The following is a 23,193-nucleotide window of genomic DNA, read 5'->3' as shown; positions in this document are numbered from 1 at the left end:
TCAGCTGGGCGTGCAAAAGCCTGGGCCCTCCAGCCCCACCTCAGACCTCTCTCTCCCTGTTAGCCCCAAGGACTCCAGGCTCTTCCCTAACACCAAGATGCCCCCCAACCCTGACTACTCCCCTGGTCCCTGCATCCAGGTGGTGGGCAGGGTCTCCTACCTGAGACTGCTGTGGGATGTTCAGAAAGTTGCCGTCCCGGGGTCCGATGCTGACAAACCGGTTGGCAGAGGAGGCGCCTGTCGTTGCGAATGCTGTGGGGAGCAGGGGAGAGAGGGAGAGACCCTGTCAGGCCTTGGGGCCCACCTGGGCACTGCCCCTCGGGGCTGCTGAGAGAGGGAGAGACTGAGTTAGACCATGCTGCCCGAGTTTAGGCTGGCAGTGGGAAGGATGGGCCAGAGGGGCATCTGAGCTGAAGGCCAGGCTCCGAGCCTGCCCCCCACTACAGAGGGACACCCTCATCCTCTCACTGACCAGGAACACACACTACACCCCCGACACACACCCACTCAGAAGCCACAGTCTCAGCCAGGCATCCTTTTTCACAGCTGGGATGAGGGAGAGGCCCTGGAGGCTGAGACAAGTCTCCTGGACCCAGTTCCACCCGCTAGTGAGGCACTGGGCAGGGCTGGGGATAGCCCTGGTCCCCAGGTACCCTCAGTGGATAACCCTGCTTTCCCACTGGCCCCTCTCAGGTACTGAAGAGAGGGGGCCAGGGGAGGGTGGAGGCTTTGGCAGTCCGGCCCCACCCTGCTTCGGGAAGGCCTTCCCAGCCAGGCTACCTCTCCAACCTGGGTGGCCTAGCTAGATGCTACACCTCTTACCACTCTGGGCAGGCCCAAGGACCAGGCAGGCAGGCTTGGGGAACCCAAAGGGTGCCCAATGGAGGTCTGAGCCAGGTAGGGCAGGGTCAGAGAAGGGCCTAGGAGCTGGCTGCCTGGCTTGGGCCCAGGGGGTGGCAAGGCTCAGGCCTATGGCATTCTCCTCCTCTGACTGATGCACCAGGTCCAACAGGCCTGTGGTTCCAGGACCAAGGCAATAGAGGAGGAGGAGGCTGGAGAGCCTGGCAGAGCCCTAGGGCTCAGATGCCTGGGAGCAGCCATCCTGGGGCCCAAAGACAAAATGATCTCAACAGCCCTGAGTTCCTCTCAGGTTGTCCAGATGGAGCCCTGCTGGAGGGAACAGGCCCTGCACCCCCAGAAGGGAAGATGCCCCCAGAGGAGGCAAGGAGTGTCACAGGTTACCTGGAAGGCCCGCCGCTGCCCTGCACCAGACACACCCAGGGACTCCATGCTCACCAGATTCTGCCCACCTCTCTCCAGAAGTGGCCCCCGAACCCTGTAGCCCAGCTCCCATCCCCCACCCTGCCCACCTCCAATGACTGTGACTTCATGTCTTATGGTGGATGCAGATGGGAAGATGGCATGAAGAGGATGGAGAGGGGAAAAGAACTCAAACCACGAGAAAGGAGGAGAGACAAAGCGAGCGGAGAGCAGTGTGAGATGGGCCACCCCTCCCACCGCCACCGAACTGCCCTGGCCTGTGGCCTGCCCACCCCCAGAGCTGCCCACCCTGGCCCACAGACAGCACCCGCCCCATCCTCCTGTCCTTCACGCCGGGTCTACCTGGGACCTCTCGAATGATTTTTCTTCTTTTCCCTTTGACAAAATTTGTCATTGGTTTAAGAGGAAAAAAAAAGAAAAGAAAAGAAAAGAAAGAGAGACAGAGAGAGAGATGAAGTAAGCCAAAGCCCACAGCCCTCCCTCGTCCTTGGAACATCTAACCTGGGAAAGGAATTGCGGAGAAGGGACGGGAGAGGGATGGAAGGGGGGGAAAAAAAAAGAGGAACAACGAGAAACCAAATGTGAGACTGAGGGGGAAGGGGTCGGGCTGGCCTGCTGCGTCTTTGAGGCCCAAGGGCCCAGGGATGGAGGTGAGGGGCAAGGCAAAAAGGGGATGGTGGTGGCGTCGCCTTGTGGTTACATTTGATTTTCTTGGTGTGGGGGGAACAACGAAACAACAAAAAAATTAAAAAACAAAAACAAAAAACAAAAAAAAAAAAACAGCAATCAGGCATGAAGATGGCATGGCTGTGCCTCCCCGCCCCCTCCCACCCCCGCCAGCACCCCTGGCCTGCGCGCCCCAGCTGTGCTCTCCCTCCCGCCCCCCAGAGGGGCCTGGGCCAGGGGCCCCGGCTGGGAGCAGCGGGCAGGGGGCTCGTGGGGTGCTGGCTGGTGCGACTGAGGCCCGGGAGGGAGGCTGTGGTTGGGGGGCTCGGCTCTGCTCTTGTCCATGGTGCTCTGGGTTGGGGGGCTTTGGTGGTGGGGAGGGGGAAGGCTTTTCTTTTTGCAGTGGAGACTGTTTGGACGGGCCGGGGACGCTGGGCGTTGTGGTTTCGGTTTCATCGTCCACTTACAAGGTGATGGAGGAGTCAAGGCGGCGCCGTCTGGGGCAGTGCTGGTGGATTTGGAATCAGGCATAGGAAGGGGCACAGGTCTGGCCACTGGAGGCGGCGGCGGTAGCAAAAATGACCCCGGGACTTTGCCCTGGCCGCTACCGTTGGGCTGCGAACAACATAAATAGAGTGACGCATGAAGGCACATCACACACAGACACACGCTCCCCTGCGCGGCCGCGCCAGCTCGCTCCTGAGAGCGGGCGCTCCCGGTGGAAGATCCAGGATTGGGTCCTCTCCTCCAGGGCACAGGATGGGTGAGGGTGTAAGGCCTCTATTTGGTCTCTCAGGTGTTTCTCTTTTTTTTTTTTTTTTTTTTTTTTGGTCCTCTTTTGAAGTTGTGGGAGGGAGGGAGGGGGTGTTCGACGGGTGGTTTGTTACTTCTTAGGGAAAATGTTTTAGGTACCAAAATGTGCCACCTAGCAAATACGTGCAGCTGTACCTAGAACTCTCACACTCCTGAAGACCATCTCCTACAGCAGGAAAGATGAGCGCGCTCACCCTGCTCCCCCGGCTCCCCAAAGCACATGCCTGCCTCCCTCTGAGGGCTGTCGGGCTGAGCTGGTTCACCTAACCAAGGACGGCAGGCCTGCCAGCACCCACCCCACAACATGTCCTCAGGAGGCCACCAGAAGTTGGGGAGCTCGTCCTCGGCTCCAGCAGCCTGGGTCCTCACTGCCTGTGGGTGGTAGGGTGCTGACCTGTTCTCTCAAGAATGGCCAGGGAAGAAAATCCATCGCTGCCAGCTCTAGTGCCCGTGAGGTTCTTCAGGAGGACTTCCCTGTACAACGCCCTCAGACGCCATGGATGCTCGGCTGCCAGGATGCATTCCTTGTCCTTTATGCCCTCATTTGCTTCTAACTGGATTTTCTCCTCCAGGCCCTGTGCATGGCCTTGCGTGGGTTGGCCTTCTGGCTTCAGGACACACAGGTGCCAAAGGACAGACAGAGGCGCCCCTGCCTCTCCCAGGCAGGTTCCTTGGAGAGACCTCCCTGGAGGTTTGGGCACACACCTCCTGCTGCTCTGAACAGGACCCTGATGACCACTGCAGCGTGGGCTCAGGAAGGCCTGGCCTGCGCTCTTCATCCTAAACCAGCACCTCTCCTGTGGGATAGAGTTCCGCCCTTCCGGGCACCCGGATGCGAGACCCAGAGAGGATGCTGTGTGCTCCTCCTCCTATCGGTGAGCAAGCCCTGAGGAGCCCATCCCCTTGATGTCTCCAGCCAGTGCCTCGTTCTGTCCTCACAGATTTCAGCTGGACGATGACAATGAGCTGGTGTATGGGGCTCCCCTGTGCTGAGACTGTGCTTATCAGCTCAGGACCCTCAGTGTCCAGCCCTGGACCAGGTGCTTTAGTTCTGTTGTGTAACCCCTGACCCACCCCAGAAAGCATCAGTTCTCACCCAGGGGTAATTCTGTCCCCCTCAAGGAGACACTGGCAATGTCTGGAGACACTTTCAGTTGTCACAACAAAGAGGCTGGAGGGGCTGGGTGGAGGCCAGGATGCTCCTCGACATCCTGCGGTGCACAGGACAGCCCCAACAACAAAGGATCATCAGTCCAAGCATTAACAGGCCTGCCCTGGGAAGCCTTGCCACAAAGGAAGCTCTATTCTCTTTATTTCACAACTGAGGAAACTGAGGCTCTGGGCCATTAAATGGTTTATCCTAAGTCACCCAGCTGCAACTGGCCAGACCTGGAATTCACAGCCATGTCTGCCTGACTACTCCAGGGATGCTAGGATTCTTTCCACCAGGCTCATCAATCCTCTCCCCCAAATCCACATCAGCTCAGGTTTCTCCAGTCCTCTGAAACCTTCCACGGCCCCAGCTATACCCAACATGAAGTCCAATCTCCTCAGTTGGGCATTCAAGGCCCCCACGGATGCCTCTACTGGTCCAGCCCCTACCGCCCCTCTGCACTTCCCATTCCAAACTGACTGGGGTTTCCGGAACACAGGCCGAGCAGGCAGGACTGCACGCTGGCTTGCTGCGAAGCTCTCTGTATGAAAGACTATTTCCCACACCCTTCAAGACCTGCTCAAAAAACGCTGTCCCCTCTGTGGGGACCAGCCAGATCCCCTGAATCACAACCTATCTTTCTCTGCCCTGTTTCTCTAGGACATTCTTGATCTCACTGGAACCTTCAAAACAGGCCACTCCCCCATCCCTGCCAGCTCCCCAACAAGTCGGCAGAAGCATGCAGCACTCAAGTACCACTAAGCACGTGGGATCGACTTGTCCTTCCTGCTGCACTTTAAAGTCACGGAAGCCCAGGCTGGCCTGTGCAGCCACGCCCTTCTGAACTCTGGCTTCTCTGCCCACTGTTTTTTTACCACGATGACCAGCATCTAGGTCTGACACACTGTCCCTCTAAATGGTTCCTTTGACCCATTCCTGCCCACTCCAAGGGTGACAACTCTCAGTGGCCCTTGACAAAAGCAAACAGTGGCTGCTGGTCCCCATATGTGTCAAGGGCTGGAGAACTTTTGTGCAGGTGTTTTGGAAAGGGACCCTCAGTTCCAGGTAACAGTGCAGGTCAGAGCGTGGGGGTTTGCAGCGCTGCAGAGAAAGGTGATGCGACGCCTCCCCTCATCTCCATGCCTGCCTAGAAGGAGGGAATGGGACGGTCTGATCACAGCCTCACTCCTCCTCTCCAGGTGTCCCGAGCTCAGGCTCCCAGGGGACTGGGACACAGAGGCCTTCCAAGCAACCACAGGACGGCCTCTGCCTTCCTCCAGCTTCAGAGCCTGTCTCCCCGAGGAGTATCTAAATCGTTAATCCCACCCAATAATGCTAATCCCCGCCTGATATGGCCAGACATTGAAACCTGCTGATTTACAACATTCAGTTTCTAGATGTAACTTCCAACCAGGCTGGCATGTCTCAGCTCTGACTGGGGTACAGTTGAGGTTTTAAAAACCTCAAGGTCTTGTGACTGTGCAGTGCCTTAAAACCTCAGGAGTTAGGAGCTAGAAGGAGCCTGGAAGGTGGTATAGCTCCTCAATTTTTTTTTTTTTTTTTTTTTTGAGATGGAGTCTCACTCTGTCGCCCAGGCTGGAGTGCAGTGGCGCAATCTCGGCTCACTGCAACCTCCGCCTCCCGGGTTCAAGCGATTCTCCTGCCTCAGCCTCCCAAGTAGCTGGGATTACAGGCACCCACCATCATGCCCGGCTAATTTTTGTATTTTTAGTAGAGACGGGGTTTCTCCATGTTGGTCAGGCTGGTCTCGAACTCCCAACCTCAGATGATCCGCCCACCTCAGCCTCCCAAAGTGCTGGGATTACAGGTATAAGCCACCGCGCCCGACCAGCTCCTCACTTTCACCTTACAGATAAACACGTGGGCCTGGCTGTTCAGACAATGATGGTAAGACTGAGCCAGGACCAGGCATCCTGCCTCCCGGAGTCATGCTCTCCCATTGGGCCCTGTGATTTCTCCATCATGTTCACTTGGCAGTCTCTTCCTTCTCCCTGAAACACAGCTAACCAGGCATCCTCTTAACTGCCCTTTGCATCTCCTCTGCATAGTGTCTCCACATGGCCTTGGCTGTTATTACCCTAGGGTCCAAGGCCATGGCTATAGGTGTGCCCTGGGAACCCTTCTGCAATTGTCTATAAAATTCTGGGTTTTTTTTGTTTTTGTTTTTGTTTTGTACACAGAGTCTCACTCTGTCGCCCAGACTGGAGTGCAGTGGCGCAATCTTGGCTCACTGCAACCTCTGCCTCCCGGGTTCAAGCGATTCTTCTGCCTCAGCCTCCCAAGTAGCTGGGACTACAGGCACACGCCACCACGTCCAGCTAATTTTTTGTATTTTAGTAGAGAGGGGTTTTACCGTGTTGCCCAGGCTGGTCTCGAACTCCTGAGCTCAGGCAATCATCTGCCTGCCTCAGCCTCCCAAAGTGCTAGGATTACAGGTGTGAGCCACCACGCCCAGCCTAAAATTCTTCTATGCAGACATTTTCCTGCAAAACTGATCTGTGACTTCTGATTCTCAAGGAGGTTAGAAACAGCATCAGCATCACCTAGAAAGTTGGGAAAAATGCTAATTCTTAGTCCCCACCCCAGACCTGCTGCATCAGATGCTCTGGGGGTGAGGCACAGCCATCTGTGTGTTAGCCAGGGCTCTAGTTGACTCTCGCGCATGCCAAGTCTGAGAAGCACTGCTTAACAGTGGCTGTAGTGCAAGCACAGCTGGGCGCTGCCACTCCCTACCCACTGGATCAGTGGCGGAGCCGGGCCCTCTGGCTCTCTGCAGCTATGCATCAGCCTCTTGTGTAGCACAGTGCTGTCTCTAGCCTCCTCCCAGAAGCCGGGCGTGGGCTCCATCAAGCAGGCTCCCCGCTGAGCCCCCTCTCCCTCTCTTCAGTACAACAGGCCACACAGGCCACACAAGGAAACTCAGAAGTTGCTCCCCAGCTGGGCCACACTCCTTGCTTAATCAAGGTGCCTGTTTGCGGTGTTTTGTCCATGGTCTGCTTGGAGCAAGTGCCTGCCTCAGGAAGAGAAGCTTCTAGGCAAAATGAGTCCTCTGTCGTTTTTTTAAAAACTATGGCTCTATATCAGAGTCCTCAATCTTGAACAGTCAAGTCAAGGGAGAGGCTCAGGACCCAGCCCTCAGGACCAGAGGCTCAGAATGGCCAGGGGACTAAATGACCCACTTTCTCAAGGGTTCTGTGGTTAGGTTTGGCTCCTTGGCCTAACCTTGGCCGGTCTCTAGGCCAGCCTGAATTTGACTCCAAATCCTGGCTGCCTCGGTAGTTAAGAAAGCAGGTAAGGTAATGTTCCAGGCCTCTCTGCGGCATATCCCAGACCCCAGGCCCCTTGGGGGCTGGGCATAGGCTGGTAGCTCCCCGTGAACTCTGCTGGCATCTCTGATGCAAGCACAGCAGCTGTCAGAGGTCAGGTCTGCTCTTCCCTCCATGGCCCTAAAAGTGGACAGAGCTTGTCCAGAGAGAGGTGGGCGAAGCTACCAGTATGCTAAGGAGCTGCAGAGTCAGCCAAGAGAAACCCTCGATGGGCAAAGGGAGAAGGGAGACGAGGAGGAAAGGAGCAGGAGGGGAACAGGAGGGAGGGAAGAGGACTGGCTTCCCTTAGGGACAGAGTGAGGAGGCGGAGCCACGGCCCCGCCGCAAATCAATACACCAGCACTTAGCAAATGCTCGCTCTGCCAGAGCACACCAAGGCAGCACGGGGCTGGTGGCAGCAGGCAGCCTCTGGTGTGGGCTTCCGGGATGCCTTTCCCCACCACAGCCCTTTGAGCATCCTCCCTGCCTGACCTCTCGCAGCAGGCTTCCAAGCTGGGAGGGCTGGCTACAGAGGAGCTAGAGCTTCTCCTATTACAGCATGCTGCTGAGGCTCTGGATTTTTCCCAGAGGTCTAGAAACCTCCACATTCCAACCAGGGACCGTTGTCCCACTGAAGGGTCATCTCTGGCCCACCACCTCCTGGGATCATTCTTTCGCTGAGCAACCCTGAGTTTCTGTCAGTGACAGAGAAGGGCTCTGGGGGGAGCCAGTGTGTCTCCCAGGGCTGAGGAGCAGCAGGGTTTCACTCTAGAACCAGGACCGTCCTGGGAACCCTTTGTTAAAAGTCCTGCCAGCAGGAGTCTCCGTGGCAGCTATGTGGATCGGGGCTTTCCCTTGACACAGTGCTCCTCACTAGGGATGGTCTTCCCCTCCTGGGCACACTGAAATCTGGAGACTTTTTTTTATTATCAAGACTGGGGAGGAGGAGGTGCTCCTGGCATCTAGCAGGTGGAGGCCAGGGATATTGCTCAACATCCTACAGAGCACTGGATGGTCTCACACAATAGTGAATAAACAGCCCCAAATGTCAACAGTGCTGATACTGGGGAAACCCTGGTCTAGAATCTAGCAAATCCTTGCAGCCCCGAGGTTTAAGAGGAGCGCTGGGAGGTCAGGGCCCAGATCCGGGTTGGATCATCATGAGTTCACTCCTGCTGAGGGGGCAAGGACCATGGGAAAGGCAAGGAGCCTGACTGAGCAAGGGGGCCCAGATGCTGCCCCCACCTCTCCGGACCATGATAGACAAGCCCTGGCATAATACACAGACCCCCGTCCCCAGACCCAGAAAATCGAGGCGTTTGGTACTACCAGCTCCCTGCTGCTCCAGCCCCAGGTGGGCTCCTGGCTTTTGGGCCCTCTCCCTGTGAGCCCTGAGACAGACAGATAGATGTGGAGATGAGGCTGTAGCCGGGCTCCTGGGGCCCTCTGGACTCACCTGTCCGGTGGCCTGGCCCGAGCCATCCGAGCACACAAACTGCACAAACTCCTTCAGTGAGTCCTGCCCGTGGTGGTGGTGGTAGCGGATGGTCGGGTGCGTGAAATACGGGCTCGACTGCTGGATGATGGACGTGGAGGGGAAGTGCAGGGCTGATGCTGTGGCCCGGGGGCTCCCTGCATGCACGTGGGCAGGGAAAAAAGGGCGTCAGGGCCAAGGAGGCAGCCAGTGGGAGGGACAGGAGAGGAGGGGAGCTGCCGGTCAGAGGGTCCTGAGGATCCTGAGCAGGTAAGGCAGCCGCCACAGGCACAAAAGTTAAGGCGGCACAAAAAAGTCAGTCATCAGGATCCATGATGTTTTAATGCAATACAAAAATAATAATAATAATAATAATCAAATAGGCAAACTAGGGTCCAAAGGCCAGCCATTTGTTTTTGTAAATAAAGTTTGATCACAACCAGCGCTGGGAGATTAGGATGAGGCAGATGAGGCAGGGTAGGATCTTGTCTTTATTTTATTTGGCTTTTTAAAAAAGTGTTATTATTATTATTTGAGACAGGGTCTCGCTCTGTCATCCAGACTGGAGTGCAGTGGCACAAACACGGATCACGGCAAGCAATCCTCCTGGGCTCATGCAATCCTCCCACCTCAGCCCCCCAAGTAACCAGCACTACAGGTGCACGCCACCAGGCCTGGTAGATTTTTGCTTTTTTTTTTTTCTAGAGATGAGATTTTGCCATATTGTCCTGGTTAATCTCAAACTCCTGGGCTCAAGTGATCTGCCTGCCTTGGCCTCCCAAAGTGCTGGGATTACAGGCATGAGCCACTGTGCCCAGCCTAAAGAATTTTTTTTTTTGAGACTGAGTCTCGCTCTCTCACCCAGGCTGGAGTGCAGTGGTGCGATCTCAGCTCACTGCAAGCTCTGCCTCCCGGGTTCACGCCATTCTCCTGCCTCAGCCTCCCGAGTAGCTGGGACTACAGGCGCCCACCACCACGCCCGGCTAATTTTTTGTATTTTTAGTAGAGACAGGGTTTCACCGTGTTAGCCAGAATGGTCTCGATCTCCTGACCTTGTGATCCGCCCACCTCAGCCTCCCAAAGTGCTGGGATTACAGGCGTGAGACACCGCGCCCAGCCAGTATCTGTTAAATAGAGACAGGATCTCGCCCTGTCATCCAGGCTGTAGTGCAGTGGCATGATCACAGCTCGCTGCAGCCTCGAACTCCTGGCCTCAAGCAGTCTTCCTGCCTTGGCCTCCCAAAGTACAGGGATTACAAGCATGAGCCACTGTGCCCAGCCTCAACATTTTAAACCATTTTAAACAAAGACATGGCTGAGTGCTGTGGCTCATACCTGTAATCCCAGTGCTTTGGGAGGCCAAGGTGGGAGGATCACTTGATCCAGGAGTTGGAGGTCAGCCTGGGAAACATAACAAGACCCCGTCTCTACAACAAACATTTAAAAATTAGCCAGGGTGGCACACAGGAGGGATCACTTGAGTCTGGGAGTTCAAGGCTTCAGTGAGCTATAATCGTGCCACTGCATTCAGCCTGAGTAATAGAGCAGGAAACTGTCTTTGAAAAAAGAAAAAGAAAAACAAACAAAAAAACTGGTGTTTGCTTACCATACCCTTTTTTTTGCAATAGTTTGGATTTTAAAACATATTCCATTAAAATATTATTTATCTTGATGACTGAGTTTTTGATACTTGCTGACACTCTGCACCTAAGGTGAGTGCCTCACTAGCCCTGCCTTAATTCAGGCCCTGGGTGGGAGACTGGGTGGGGGACAAGAGGAGGCAGAGGGTTCCCTGGGGCTCTGGATGAAGACAAAGCCAGCATCTGCTCAGGATGGCCGTCTGACATATGCACACACATCTCCTGAGTGCGAGCTGGTGTGCACCCAGCCACCGCCACCTAGGCGGTGTTCTCATGTGCTCAGCCTCATCACTCACACACGTGTCCTCACATACGCGTCCTTGCACACGCAATTCCCAACCCAGAGCAGGCCCCAGCTCTTCCTCCTCCCGTCTGTTTCCAATCAGCTCGCTCTTGCTCTCGGTTTCATTAGGGGGCTGAGGAAACTTGGCTTCTCTCTGGAGTTCATAAAAGCTGAGGTGGAGCCGGAGGAGCCAGGCCTGCGCCCTCCTGCTGCCTGTGTAGAGGGCCTGGGCTCCCCACCCCCACCTCGCGGCCACCACACCCTGCCCCAGCACCGGCTGCCTCTGGGCTCCCAGCCAGGAGGCCCCAAGGAGGAAGCCAGGAGGTAAACCTCCTCATTTTCTGTGTCCTACATACGAGCCCAGGAGATGGCAGGCGGACATAGGGCCATATCCAGAAAAAGTCCAGGCCTCTTGCTGCCAGGTGGGTGCCCAGAGAGGGAAGAAGAAAGTGAAGGAGTGACAGGGCTGAGGTCTCAGCTCCCACAGCCTCCTGCCTGATCCTATCTCCTCAGGGCGATCTAGGTGTTCTCATCCTGAGCACCTTCTCAACTGGGACACTGAAGTCAGAGAGCAGCCCCACGGCAGTGGGCAGTTCCTTTTCCTGGGGAGCAGCCCAGGTACCACCTGTCCCCTAGACCCAGCCCTTCCTTTCTAGAAAGCGGCAGGGAGGCCCAGACAAGGTAGCTACTTGCCGCAGGAGCCTGGGCTCCTTAGGAGTACTCTTCTCCATCCAGGCCCCACATCAACCTGGGCTCATGCTGGCAAAAATCCAGAGCCTGGGCTCAGCCAGGAGCTGGGAGAGAGGAGCCGGCAGGAAGGCAGAGCAGAAGGCTGTGCCTTCCCGCTCACAGCTGGCAGGACAAAAGGAGAACTGGGCCAGAGTTGGGGAGGACTCGGGACAGGCTTGTGTTGTATGTAGCACCCATGCACGTGAGGAGTGAGAAGTGGGAGGTTGCTCAGGAGCCAGGTGGGCAGCCCAGGGGCCCGGCCTGGTCCTCGATGAGGTGCTACGTGAAGCAGGGGCCGGCTCCCATGCCCACCCGCTGCTGCACCTTGGCCCACTTGGAGAGCGTGGGGCTGTCACTCGGGGTCAGCTCTGGCCCCTTCACCTGGCCAGCTGCCCCTAGATACTCAGCCACCTCCCCAACTGCCCCCCTCCGGGGCCCCCCATTTCTCACCTGGTCTGACTCCAGCAAGCACAGGCAGCGGGTGGTGGGTGAAAGCCATGCGCGGGGAGCTGCCCTGAGAGGAGAGGGCACTGCAGAAGTCCAGCTTTCCTGACTTCTTTAGAGAAGCCGGGCCTGGGGGGAGGAAGCAGCAACACAGGGCAGGTTTAGCTGGGCTGGGGTGGGTGCGGGGAAGGCGGGAAGCCAGCAGCTCGCTCCTTCTCTCCTCAGCCCCTCCCCACTGCCCCTTCCTCCACTGTGCTCCCTCCTGCTGCTCCTTGCCCAGTCCCAGGCCTTGTTCTAGGCCTGGTTCCGAGGCCCTGTGTGTAGGCCAGCCAAGGGGTGCTTCTAACCAGAGAGGAAAACGAGGCCCCTGGGTAATGTGGGGTGGTGTGTGCCAGGCAGGGGGTGAGCAAGGGCCCCAGCCTATGCCCTGGCAAGCAGGTAATGAAGTGAAAGGGTGGGATGCAGGACCAACATTGGGAAAGGAGTGCAGGAGGAACCCCAGGGCGCCAGCTTGAGAGCCGGGAAGGGGTAAGTTTGGGAGGGACAGGCTGGGGTCTATGCCATGGTGCCCGGGGCCATGGGAGGTTCTGGTGGGAAGAAGCCAGGGCCCCGTTTAGGGAAGGGAGCACACAGCCATGAGCCCTCAGGAGGGACACAATGCCCAGCGAGAGAGCAGGGACAGAGGCCAGAGGACCTGGAGAGTCCTTGGGCTGCTCAGGCCTAGCCGGGCTGTGCAGGCAGAGCCAGAGGGGAGAAGACTCCCCCAGCCAGGGGACCCAGAAGCTCAGCTGCCATAGGATGGATAATTTCAGGGCTCTGCCCTGCTTCTGGTGCCAGAGGTGTGGGTGGCATTCAGCATGAAACAAGGGCACAGAGAACACCTTGTTTGAAGTCTGTCTTTAGAAATTCATCTCTGCCCAGTGGCCATAGCATCCAAATGACAAAGCAGGGCCCCCAGGGGGCCAGGTTCTTCTGGAAAGATCAGCTCCCATCTTGGGCTGAGCTTTAAGGTTGTGCCCAGGCTGGGAAGGATAAGGTAGAGTTGGGGCAGATCTCACAGCTGCCACCCTTGGAGGACAAATCAAGTCAGTTTGGGTGAGGGGTGGAGGGGCTGCAGAACAGAGAAATAAAGAGCCATCTTAACTGCAGAGGGAAGGGGCGGGGGAAGGGCGAACTCCCAGCCGCCAGCGGAGGTGTTATCTGGCAGCAGCTGTGTGCCACCTGATAGCTGGCACAGTGGGGAGGGGGGAGCATCCTACCAGCTGTGCACAGCTGTCCCCATGGCCGCACAGTGCCTCCCCAGCTGTTCCCTGTCCTGCAGCTGGGCTGCTTAATTGGCAATTTGTTGCAGCCCATGAAAACAACACACAGCGGGGTGAGGGGAAAAGGGAGCCGGAGGGTGCTGCAGGAGGATGTTGAGGGGCCGTGCGTGGCAGGACTGCCGGAAGGAGCAGAAATGCAGAAATGGCAGGCGCAAAAGCAGACAGCCAAGAAAGGAGAGAGCAGGAGCCAGGAAGAGGGGGGCTCCTCAGGAATTAGGTCTGGGCACAGGAGCCCAGGAGCCCTTGCCCCAGGAGCCAGCTGCAGACACAGTCCTCTATGCACCCCAGGGGCAGTCCTTGCAGAAGGGGTCACCTACTGAGGCCCCGGCCAGGGACCCAGGATGTAGCCCAAGAGTCTCCCGGGCCTTCTCAACTCCTCTCTCTGCCTCTCAAGGCTCCCCTAGGGAAGCATGTGGCCCATGCTGGCCCAAGTCCCTGCCTGCCACGAGGAGAGCCTGGGAGGGGCCCCAGAGTCACGCAAGGAAGCCTTCTCACAGAGGCCAGCCTCTGCTGGCCATCTAGAGGGTCTCCAGCCCACTCCCTCAGCCTGAGGCCTGGAGGCGAGCCCTCCTTTCCTCCTCCCAGGAGGAGGAGAAGCTGCCAGAACTTGCATTCGTTCTGGGGCAGCAGAAAAGCAGGAGTGCTTCCCAGCCCCACCTCGCTCCACCCCAGACTCTGCCTGCCCACTTGGCCCTTCCCAGTAGGGGCATATCTGGAAAACATCAGACAAAGTACCATTAGGTCAGACCCTCACCTTTTGGAGGAGGAGAATGATGCCCAGGGCCCAGGCCTGTCCAGAGCAGCCATGCCCTGTGCACAACCCACACGCGTGAGTCTGCACTCCCAGGCCCTGTCACACCCACAGTGAGGATAAACACGGGCTGTACCACTGGCACGTCAGCGGGGGACTCTTGCGGCCAGCCTCCTCACACACATGTGCTCATGCACATGCACACACACACACGCACGTGTTACATGCTGTCTTCCAGAGTCCTCTCTAGGTCTGTCTGCACCCTCAGTCAAGAATGGAGGTGAAGGGGGGTGGGTTCAACAAGAAGAAGATCCCTAGAGGAGACTGGGAAGGTCTGAGCTGGCTTCCTCTGTACTCTCTCCCCTTCGCTAGCTTCCCTACCTGGTCTCAAAAGGACTCTGCTCATTCTTCACTAGACTCTGAGCCTCTCTCTGTGAAGCTGGGCCCTTGAGACCAGTGGTTCTCATCCTGGGAGGATTCCATCCCACTAGGGAACGTCTGACAATGTCTGGAGGCGTTTTTGGTCATCAAAACTGGGGGTGGGGGTTTTGCTGCTGGCATCTTGTAGGTGGAGGCCAGGGATGCTGCTAAACATCCTGCCATGCACAGAACAATCCCCTACACAGAATGATGAGCCCCCAGGGTGAGAAACTGCTTTCAACCATGAGGCCACGGGGTGGGGCAACCTCTAGAGAAATACCAGGAGGGGCTGCGGCCATCCCACTGTGGGGCACCAGAGGCTTGGCACCCCCTCTGCTTCCCACCGCCATACCACGGGCTCTGCTGCTGACTCTCACAGCACCCCTCCTCACCCTCACCTCCACTCCCTTCCTTCAGCCTGCTCTGCCCTCCCTGGAAGATCAGGAGGCAAGAAAACAGATGGGTAATGCCCCCCGACAGGGGGACAACTGGTGGGAGGCTCACCAGGTGAACTGAGAAGGGGACAAAAAGACTCTGGGCTGCCCTTGCTCTGGGTCAGGATCCCCCGCACCCATACCTGCATCCACATCGTTGGGCCACCCGCTGGACTGGCTGCTGCCAGCTGCTGGGGAACGGCCTGTCCCGGGATAGAACACGTCATCAACAGGGCTCTCCATCTCACTGTCATCGATGGACTTGGGGCGCTTGGTGGTGCTGGGGAAGAAAGAAAGGGTCACATGGGCCAAGGATGGGCTGAGGCTCCAGGGAGTGACCAAGAGTCCAGGCTAAAGAACTGTGCATAGATGGCCCTCTGGGTGGGGAGTGGTGCCGGCCGACAGCAGCATTTCTGGGCACTCACTGCGTGCCCAACCCCAAGATCAGCCCTAGGGCCCCTCAAGCCATCAGCTTCAACCTGCTCCTCTTCCTCAAGCCCCTTCCCAATCTGTGATGCCACGGTCCTCCAAGCTGCCCACATCAGAGAAGTCGGCAAAACCCTCAGCTGCCTCCTGTATCCCACCTATGATTTCCTGGCAGCCCCCAGGGCTAGGGTGAGGTGAATGACGTACTCACAGGGACAAAAATGTCAGAGGGACAAAAATGTCAGGGGGACAAAAATGCCATAAAACTCAGTCATCAATATAAAGAATATTTTAGTTCCTTTTTTTTTTTTTTTTTTTTTAGATGGAGTCTCGCTCTGTCACCCAGGCTGGAGTGCAGTGGCGTGATCTCAGCTCACTGCAAGCTCCGCCTCCTGGGTTCACACCTTTCTCCTGCCTCAGCCTCCCAAGTAGCTGGGACTACAGGTGCCCACCACCACGCCTGGCTAATTTTTTGTATTTTTTAGTAGAGATGGGGTTTCACCGTGTTAGCCAGGATGGTCTCAATCTCCTGACCTCGTGATCCGCCCATCTCGGCCTCCCAAAGTGCTGGGATTACAGGCGTGAGCCACCGAGCCTGGCCTAGTCCCATATTTTTAAAAAATCAAAATGAATGCCAAAAATCTCGCAATTAATATAAACACCCGTTTTAAAAAAAAAAAAAAAGTGGAGTGGACCCTGCCCAGCACAACTTGCCCTGGCCAGAACCCACATCCCTGCCTCCCAAGCAGCTCCCTCCCTCTCCATCCACCCCACCCTCCAGGCCCTCCCCCACTCTAGCCTTTCCAATGGCCTCCTAACTGGCTATCAGTCCCGCCCACACACACTGTTGCTGGAGAGAGCTTTCTGGAACACACACCCTCAGCATCCCCTGCTTAAAACCCCTCAGGGGTCCCCACTACCCAGGGATGAAGTCTAAATGCCTTCTTCTGGCCTCCAAAGCCCTCTGCAGGGTGCCCCGCCAGCCTGTGCAGGCTGAACTGGGATACAGGCTACCCTCTTCTCCTGGAACATTTTCCCCATACCCCCCAACAACCCCCTCTGTGTCTGGGCTCAAATGTCACCTCCCCAAGACAGAGACCTTCTTGGACTCCCACTTCCAGGCAAAGCGATGCCTTGTGCGAGTTTGTGTCCCCAGGGCTGGGTCCTTCATGACAGCACAAAGCAGCTCAGTGGGTGACTGCGCATGGTGGACTCTAAAGTGTTAGAGCCAGTGCCCTCAATGAGAGAGGTGACATTCTGAAGCACCCTAGCCTCAGTGACACAGCTGACTATAGCCACTGGGACGGCCCTGGCCCTGGGGGGAGTGGAGAGAAGATGGAAAGGCAGGGCCACTGGGCTTACCTGGTGGAAGGAGGGGAGGTGATGGACCGCCGCCCCAGGGTCACCTGGTTGATGTTGTAGTAGCTGGGACTCTCCAGGTCCGCCAGGGAGAAGTTGGGCCCTGATGCTGTTGCAACAGGAGCTGGGAAGAACGAGAGGGTGATGAGGTTTGGAGGTGGGGGGAGGCCTGATGGGGTCTGTTTCTTTGTCATGAACAGCTTCCCAGAAGCCCAGGGTGAGTTTACTGTGGGGCCAGGAGATGGGAGAAAGTGGGCCATCTGGGCTGCTGAGGAACCTCCTCCCAGCTAGTGGGTCACAGAAGAGCCTTTGGTTGTGACTTTTTCTTTTTCCTCCAAAGCAATGGAGACTGGAGACAGGCCTCTCTGGAAGACTCTATTGTACCCAGCCCAGCACCAGTGAAGCCGAGAGTGTCCCAGAAAGCATCTGTTCCCATCCACCTGCCCTAAGACCCCATTAGGAGGACATCCCATGAGGTCCCACCTCCTCACTTTCAATCCCCATCCCTGGCCTGGAAGGAAGGACTCACTTACTCTGTGATACTCTCACCAGCTCCGTCACATTCCAGACCCCGGAAGTCACAAAACAGTCCTGGAAACTTAAGTGCCCTGAAGAGGGGAAAGGATGAGTGAGTCAAGACAAGGCCAGAAGGGGGCTGCCTGGCTATTTCCAAAGGTCTTCCACACTGTTGCTTCTCCCTCCCAAGTCCCGTTTCCAGCTCCAGGCTAGCCCTCAGGTCTACACCGAACAGGGGGGATCCTCTAGGTGTGCCCCCATCCCCTCAGGACAGCAAGCTAAGCTCAGTCAAGGGACAGCTGAATGAAGGGGAAGAAGTGAGGGTGGCCAGGGCAGCCAGGGTGGGGGAAGGAAGTGGAGGGGCATGAAGGATAAGGGCAGCTGGGCAGGTGGGGGGCACTGACCGTTGGGCAGTGGTTTGATGTCCGCATCTCCTTGCTGGTTTGAACTATCTGATTGTCCGGATTCTGCAGGAGACACAAAAGGGGAGAATGTATCAGGAGCAAAGTTCCCCATAAGCACCAGCCAAGCATTGGCCCCTCCAGCCTGGTGCAAGAGCAGGGACGGCCCACCCTGGCTACAGAAACCTTCACCCCACCCTCTCCCCAAACCAGCCCCAGGAGGCTCCGGGAGACCCAAAGCAGAGAAGGAAAGACAGGCCCAGTGCAGGTTTCTCAGCCTCAGCACTGCTGACATTTGGCCTGGATTGCTCTCTCTGGTGGGGACCATCCTGTGCACTGTGGGGTATCTGAGCAGCATCCCTGGCCTCCACCCACTAGATGACAGTAGCACCCCAGTTGTGACAACCCAAACTGTCCCAAGACATTGTCCACTGTGCCCTTAAGGGCAAAGTCACCCTCAGGTAAGAAGCACCGGCCAAGAGTCAGGAGCAAAGAGGGGTCCCAAGAGAGAAGTCAGAGACCATCTCTCTCCACAGCGGGGACAGACCCAAGGGTCCCCCATCCCCCACCCAGCTCCAGCTCCCAGAGGAGCATCCCCTTCCCTAACTTGGTTAATTGAAGCCATTCCTGTCTGCCTGCGCCTCCCCCACCTCACCTTTATGCTCAGAGGCAGTGCCTGGCAACCCAGAGGGGGGAGGTCTGCCCTGACGCTGTCGCCCGCTCTGTGCCAGCCTGTCTGGGCTGTCTCATGCCCCGGTGCCACAGCTGCTCAGAGGGAGCCCCGAGACAAGGGCTCATTGTGCAGTGGGAGCTCACAGAGGGCTGGGGGCAGGGTGGAGTGTGTGTGTGAATATTTTGCTGAGCTTGGGAAAGCCCCCCACCCTGGTCCCCCTGGTCCTCAAAGCTTTGTGTGCCAGGGGCACAACGGGGACCTCCAGAATGCCTGCCTGGGCATGACAGCTGGCGAGAGGGTGGTGGAGGGGGGCCAGGCAGGTTGTGGGGCAGGAGGAAGCCAGGCATTTGGTGAAGAATCAGCTGCTCACAGGGGGACCACATGGGGGTGGCATCTGAAAAACGTGCCTTGGTATTGGCCAGGGCTTTGCCCGACTTTAAAGAGCATTCCTGCCTCCTGGGTCTCGCCACCACCCTGATTCAACCTGCTGGCCCCCACCATAAAGGAGGTTCACAAAAGGTGACATCAGCCCTAGGGTTGGGGTGAGGGACCCCATCAGTCACTTGGGAGGCAAGGAACAGAGCTGGGTTCTGGGGCTGGAGGGCAGGATGCAGCCCACCCGGGTGGCACCCCTGCTTGCAGCATGAGGGCCCCACCATGTCTGGGGCTGAAAGCACTGGCCATGCTCCAGGCTGCCTGCCTTAGTGTAATGGGTAAAAAAGGGTGACTGTTTCAGGCTCCACTTCCCCTCCACCCCATCCCCACTTAACTTTTGATTTTTTAATTCCAAAAAATAAATACTATTGTAGCGAGTCAAGAAAAAGTAGTTCTTTTTAATACGGAAAGTGCTAACAAGTGCTTTTAATATGGAAGGATATACTTCACCACCTCTGGTTTGGGGTGTATCCTTCCATACCTCCCCTTTCGCTCAGCCCTGGTGGTGTGTTTGGCAAAAGAGGTTCCCACCCTGAGCCATCTCTTTGTTAGTGGCACTCTCTGCTCTGGAGGAAGCCTACCCATGTTCCCTGAGAGGGCAGCCTCTCTGTGCCATAGCATGGTGTGAATGTGAACTTTCTTGATACTACCTCACTCTTTCACCTTGGCCCATTGCTGGGTTTCTGGGTCTGATTTGAGCCCCAGCCAGTCCGGGAGTGACAGCCAAGAGGTCTACGGAGCAGGCAGCCCACCCCAGGGCCTCCTCAGACCCCAGTCCTGTGGTTGCTCTAAATCATGGCTCAGGAAGGGCACAACCTCAGGACCCATGTGCAGAGCTCAGCGAGGGTCACGTGGTCCCCACTCTGCTGCCCAGGGGTCTCTCTGCTATGAACCCCACTCATCCTAGGGACAACTTGGTCCCCACCAAGCCCTCCAGAGCTGGATCAGTGGAATCAGGGGAAGAAGGAGGAAGCTTCACAGTCCACCCCATGGGAGCGGCCCCTACCCACTGCGAAAGACCAAGTGGAGATGGCAAGTCATGTGCCCGTGCACACGCGTGTGGATGCGCATGCGCGTACCCAGCCCAGGGACAGCCGAGAGGGAACCCGACAAAGAGATGGAGGTGGGCCAGCGACTGAGGCAGAGACAAATAGGGCTCCAGGAGAGCGCGACAGACAGGAAATCCTTCTAAATCAGGACACAGCCCCAAAACGTTATTGCTGTTATTACTATTAGCTCTGTGTAAAGGAGCAAGTGGGAGCAAGGATCCGGTGCGAGTGCAGCCCCTGCCACGCGCCTCCGGGCGCTGCTCCGGGCGCTGCTGGCAGCCATTTTAGACCTTGGCAGCCATCTTACGGCTGGCGGCCTCAGCCGGAGGCCCACAATGCCGCGACCGCCGGCCCCTGACATGCTCAGCTCAGCTCCAGGACAAAAGGCAGAGACATGGGAAATCTGGACCCAGGCTCAGAGGCACAGGAGCCAGGCCTGCGGCCGGGGCAGCTGCAGCCAGGGCCCCACTGATCTGCTCAAGTGGTGTTCTCCTTCTCCCCGCTGGCCAGCACAGTGAAAGGAGCAGGGAAGGCTGAAGCCAGGGGCAGGGGACACCGCAGCTCTACTCAAAGGTGGCTAAAGTCCTCACAGGCCATCTCTAGCCAGGGCCTTAACTAGCTCAGCAAGAGTAGACCCCTGCCCCGATAGGGCCGCAGGCACCTCGGGACACCAGGGATGTGACGGGGGAAGGTCTCTGAGCACCCTGTCAGCTCGGGGATGTGCCTTGGATAGATAGAGGAAGGAGGCTGGCAGGAACCAGCCAGTGGCTGCAGGGCCCAGAGAGGCCACTAGGTCCATGGTGAAAGGGCTCCTGGGGAGGCAGCTCCTGGGGAGGCAAGGAGACGTCCTGCCCACCAGAGGCACAACGTGGGCCAGCTTTCTTACCTGGCAGGCTCTTTGGGGAGCCTTGCCTTGAGGTCTACACCTGCTCTGGACAGGTGACAGGAGCTGCAGAGCATCTCCATGTCGTGACTGCCTTCCCTGTCTGGGCTTCCCCGGGGGAGGGGATAACCCTGGGATTTGGGACAGAAAGGAGGAAGGCCCCTTTAGGATGCCCCTCCCCAGGCCCTGCCTCGTGGCTGCTCTGCTTTTATCTGGCAGAATGGGGCTTATCAGAGCCACCAGCTGAACAAATACACAAATCCACGGTTAGTGAGAAAAAACACTCTGCCTGAATTCTTTATCTCCTGTTCGCAGGCCCCGCACACTGCCCACTGCCAACACCACAGGAGGGGACCTGACTGCAGCACAGCAGGGCTCTGTTCTCCACTCTGAAGGTGGAGGGCAGCCTCCCGGACTCTGGCCGGGCCTCCCACTCAGTCTCCACGCTCTGTCTCTTGGCCACCCCCACTTCTTTCCTCCTCGCCCCTGAGCCCGGGGTGGCTCTGCCCTGGCAGTCCCTGCCAGGCAGGCGTACATGAGTGAGCCCCTGCCCACAAGGGAGCCCCCTCCAGTGTCTGCTCTCTCACTGGGGACAATGGGCCAGCTGGTGGCCTATGGGCCAGTGGAGGGGCAGGGACAGTGTTGGCTGGCACAACGCGGGCAGGTGCCGGGCTCCATCTTTCATCTTTTATCCTCTGTCATCGGCCGACACCCCCGAGGACTGTCTCTCTGATTCCCCAGTCTTCTGGGGCCATGTCCCCTGGAAGCCTTTCTGGCCTCAGGCTTCTTTCCAGCCTGCTTGCCAGCCAGTGGGGACACTAACTGTGCACCCCCAAGTTCAGGGCCACCCAACCACCCTCCCAGTCTCTTCAGGGACTGTGGCTCCCAGCGCTCCCTGGAGATACTGGTTGGAGATGGGATAGAGTGGGTGCTGCTGCTTCCCCTCGCCCCACACCAACTCAGAGTTTCCCTCCATGCTGGTGCTGGAAGCTGGAGAGTTCTTTCTGTGCTCTTAGCTGCTTCCCACTTGGCCCATCAAATGCAGCTGCCTAAAACCTGAGCCCAGCCGCTGTGTCCGACAGGTGCCTTGGCCAGGCTGGCATTCGGGGTCCCTGGTTTCTGGGCCAGGCTAGGGGAGGGAGAGTATCTCAGAGCCCACAGCTCATTCTCGATGCTGTTTGGGGGTGTCAGGCTGGCTCGTGTCACACAAACACGCAGCTCTGCGGGCTGTCCTTCTCTGGGGACCTGGGCTACTCGTGAGATCCATGTCTCTGAGGCAGAGGCCTCCCCTGCCCATGGTTCTGGCCACTTTGCAGGCTTCTGGAAGGGAGGGCTACGAAGGAGCAGGCAATAAGACTGGACTCCCTCCGCATGGGCCCAAGTGGGCTCTGCTGAAGAAGCCTTTGAAACGGGATTTGGCTCCAGGTTCTGGGGCCACTCTGTATTCATCTGCACACCACTGGTCATTCCACAGCAACAACAGCTTGTGGGCTGGAGGCCTCTGGCAGTGCCCAGACCAGAGCCAGGCTGAGCCAAGTGGCCACTCTGGGCCCCTCTCTTCCTTGGGGGCCCCTCAGTAACCTCTGGAACAGCCACAAAGTTCTCCTGCAAAATTGCCCTTCTCACACCCACACCAGCTCCCCTTCTCAGCCCCTGGAACAAGTCCCCACCTTACTTCTTTTATTCAGCTGCCTTTCCCCTTGGATCCCCATTTCTGATCTTACTTCCCTGTCTCCCTTGGCTCCCCTCCCTCTGTCCTTCCTTTGCCTCCCCCTCACCTCTTCAGCACCCCCCTCTTCCTTCTGCTGTTTGCAGGCACGTGTGCTTGTGCGTGTTTCCAAGAGGACACTGCCTCTTCAGTAGAGCTCTGGAGGGGAAGCTCCAGCAGCCAGGAGGAGCCTGGGATTGCACATAAACTCCAACTGACAGCATGTTTTTGTTTTTTGTTTTTGTTTTTGTTTTTTTTTTGAGATGGAGTCTTGCTCTGTCACCCAGGCTGGAGTGCAGTGGTGCGATCTCGGCTCACTGCAAGCCCCACCTCCTGGGTTCACGCCATTCTCCTGCCTCAGCCTCCCGAGTACTGGGAACTACAGGCACCTGTCACCAGGACCAGCTAATTTTTTGTATTTTTAGAAGAGACAGGGTTTCACAGTGTTAGCCAGGATGGTCTCGATCTCCTGACCTGGTGATCCGCCCGTCTCAGCCTCCCAAAGTGCTGGGATTACAGGCGTGAGCCACCGTGCCCGGATGCATGTTTTTAATATATATATATATATTTTCCACCTACAGATGGGGAGGTAGTTATGGCTCCCACTAGGGTGAGGGAGGAATTCCTGCTGGCTACAGCCAACACTGCCCTCAGCTCCTGCTCGAAACAAACTTGTACTGTGAAAGGGGCCATGTATAATTTGCTGGCCAATTGCCCCCACGGACTTTGGCCTAACAAGTTTTATGGAGGCTGAGGGGTGTGCACAGATTTGGCCTTAGCTGAACCCACATATGCATACCCAGGTATGTGCATACACTTGGATGCATACACTCATATGCTCAGACTCAGACACACACATACACACACACACACACACACACGCACACACACACACACACACGCGCGCACACACACGGAGGTGCCACTAACCACTTCTTGCCGTCCAGAAAGGGTGGAGTGAGATGGTACATCTGGAGCCACCAGAGAGGAATCCCCTTCAACTCTGC

The 23,193-nt window shown here is 57.1% G+C and overlaps 1 protein-coding gene across 14 annotated transcripts in view, besides 1 other annotated feature; it reads right to left on the bottom strand.

Moving 5' to 3' along the window:
• The window catches only part of NFIX (nuclear factor I X), a 103,322-nt gene that overhangs the window by 8,246 nt on the left and 71,883 nt on the right, over positions 1–23,193 (bottom strand). For 5 of the 14 annotated variants that reach the window (NM_001365902.3, NM_001378404.1, NM_001378405.1 and 2 more), the window contains 8 exons: positions 17,442–17,504; positions 17,055–17,129; positions 16,525–16,645; positions 14,880–15,016; positions 11,816–11,938; positions 8,696–8,871; positions 2,415–2,562; positions 161–252 (listed from right to left, as the gene is read on the bottom strand). In NM_001365902.3, the coding sequence (NP_001352831.1) occupies positions 161–252; positions 2,415–2,562; positions 8,696–8,871; positions 11,816–11,938; positions 14,880–15,016; positions 16,525–16,645; positions 17,055–17,129; positions 17,442–17,504 (935 nt within the window). Of the gene's footprint in view, positions 1–160; positions 253–2,414; positions 2,563–8,695; positions 8,872–11,815; positions 11,939–14,879; positions 15,017–16,524; positions 16,646–17,054; positions 17,130–17,441; positions 17,505–23,193 lie in introns of those variants that run through there. The other 9 variants (NM_002501.4, NM_001271044.3, NM_001365983.2 and 6 more) reach the window with 4 other exon arrangements.
• Positions 13,165–14,100: an enhancer, noted in NCBI's record as "H3K4me1 hESC enhancer chr19:13187265-13188200 (GRCh37/hg19 assembly coordinates)". NCBI's record gives its function as "activates a minimal SCP1, AML or CMV promoter by ChIP-STARR-seq in naive and primed H9 embryonic stem cells {active_cell/tissue: H9 hESC(naive and primed)}" and the evidence as "EXISTENCE:reporter gene assay evidence [ECO:0000049][PMID:30033119]".

The sequence above is a fragment of the Homo sapiens genome, chromosome 19 (genome assembly GCF_000001405.40).
Source record: "Homo sapiens chromosome 19, GRCh38.p14 Primary Assembly".
NCBI lineage: Eukaryota > Metazoa > Chordata > Mammalia > Primates > Hominidae > Homo > Homo sapiens.
Note: the sequence above shows the minus strand (reverse complement) of the source record. Positions and strands in the feature narration are given on the sequence as shown.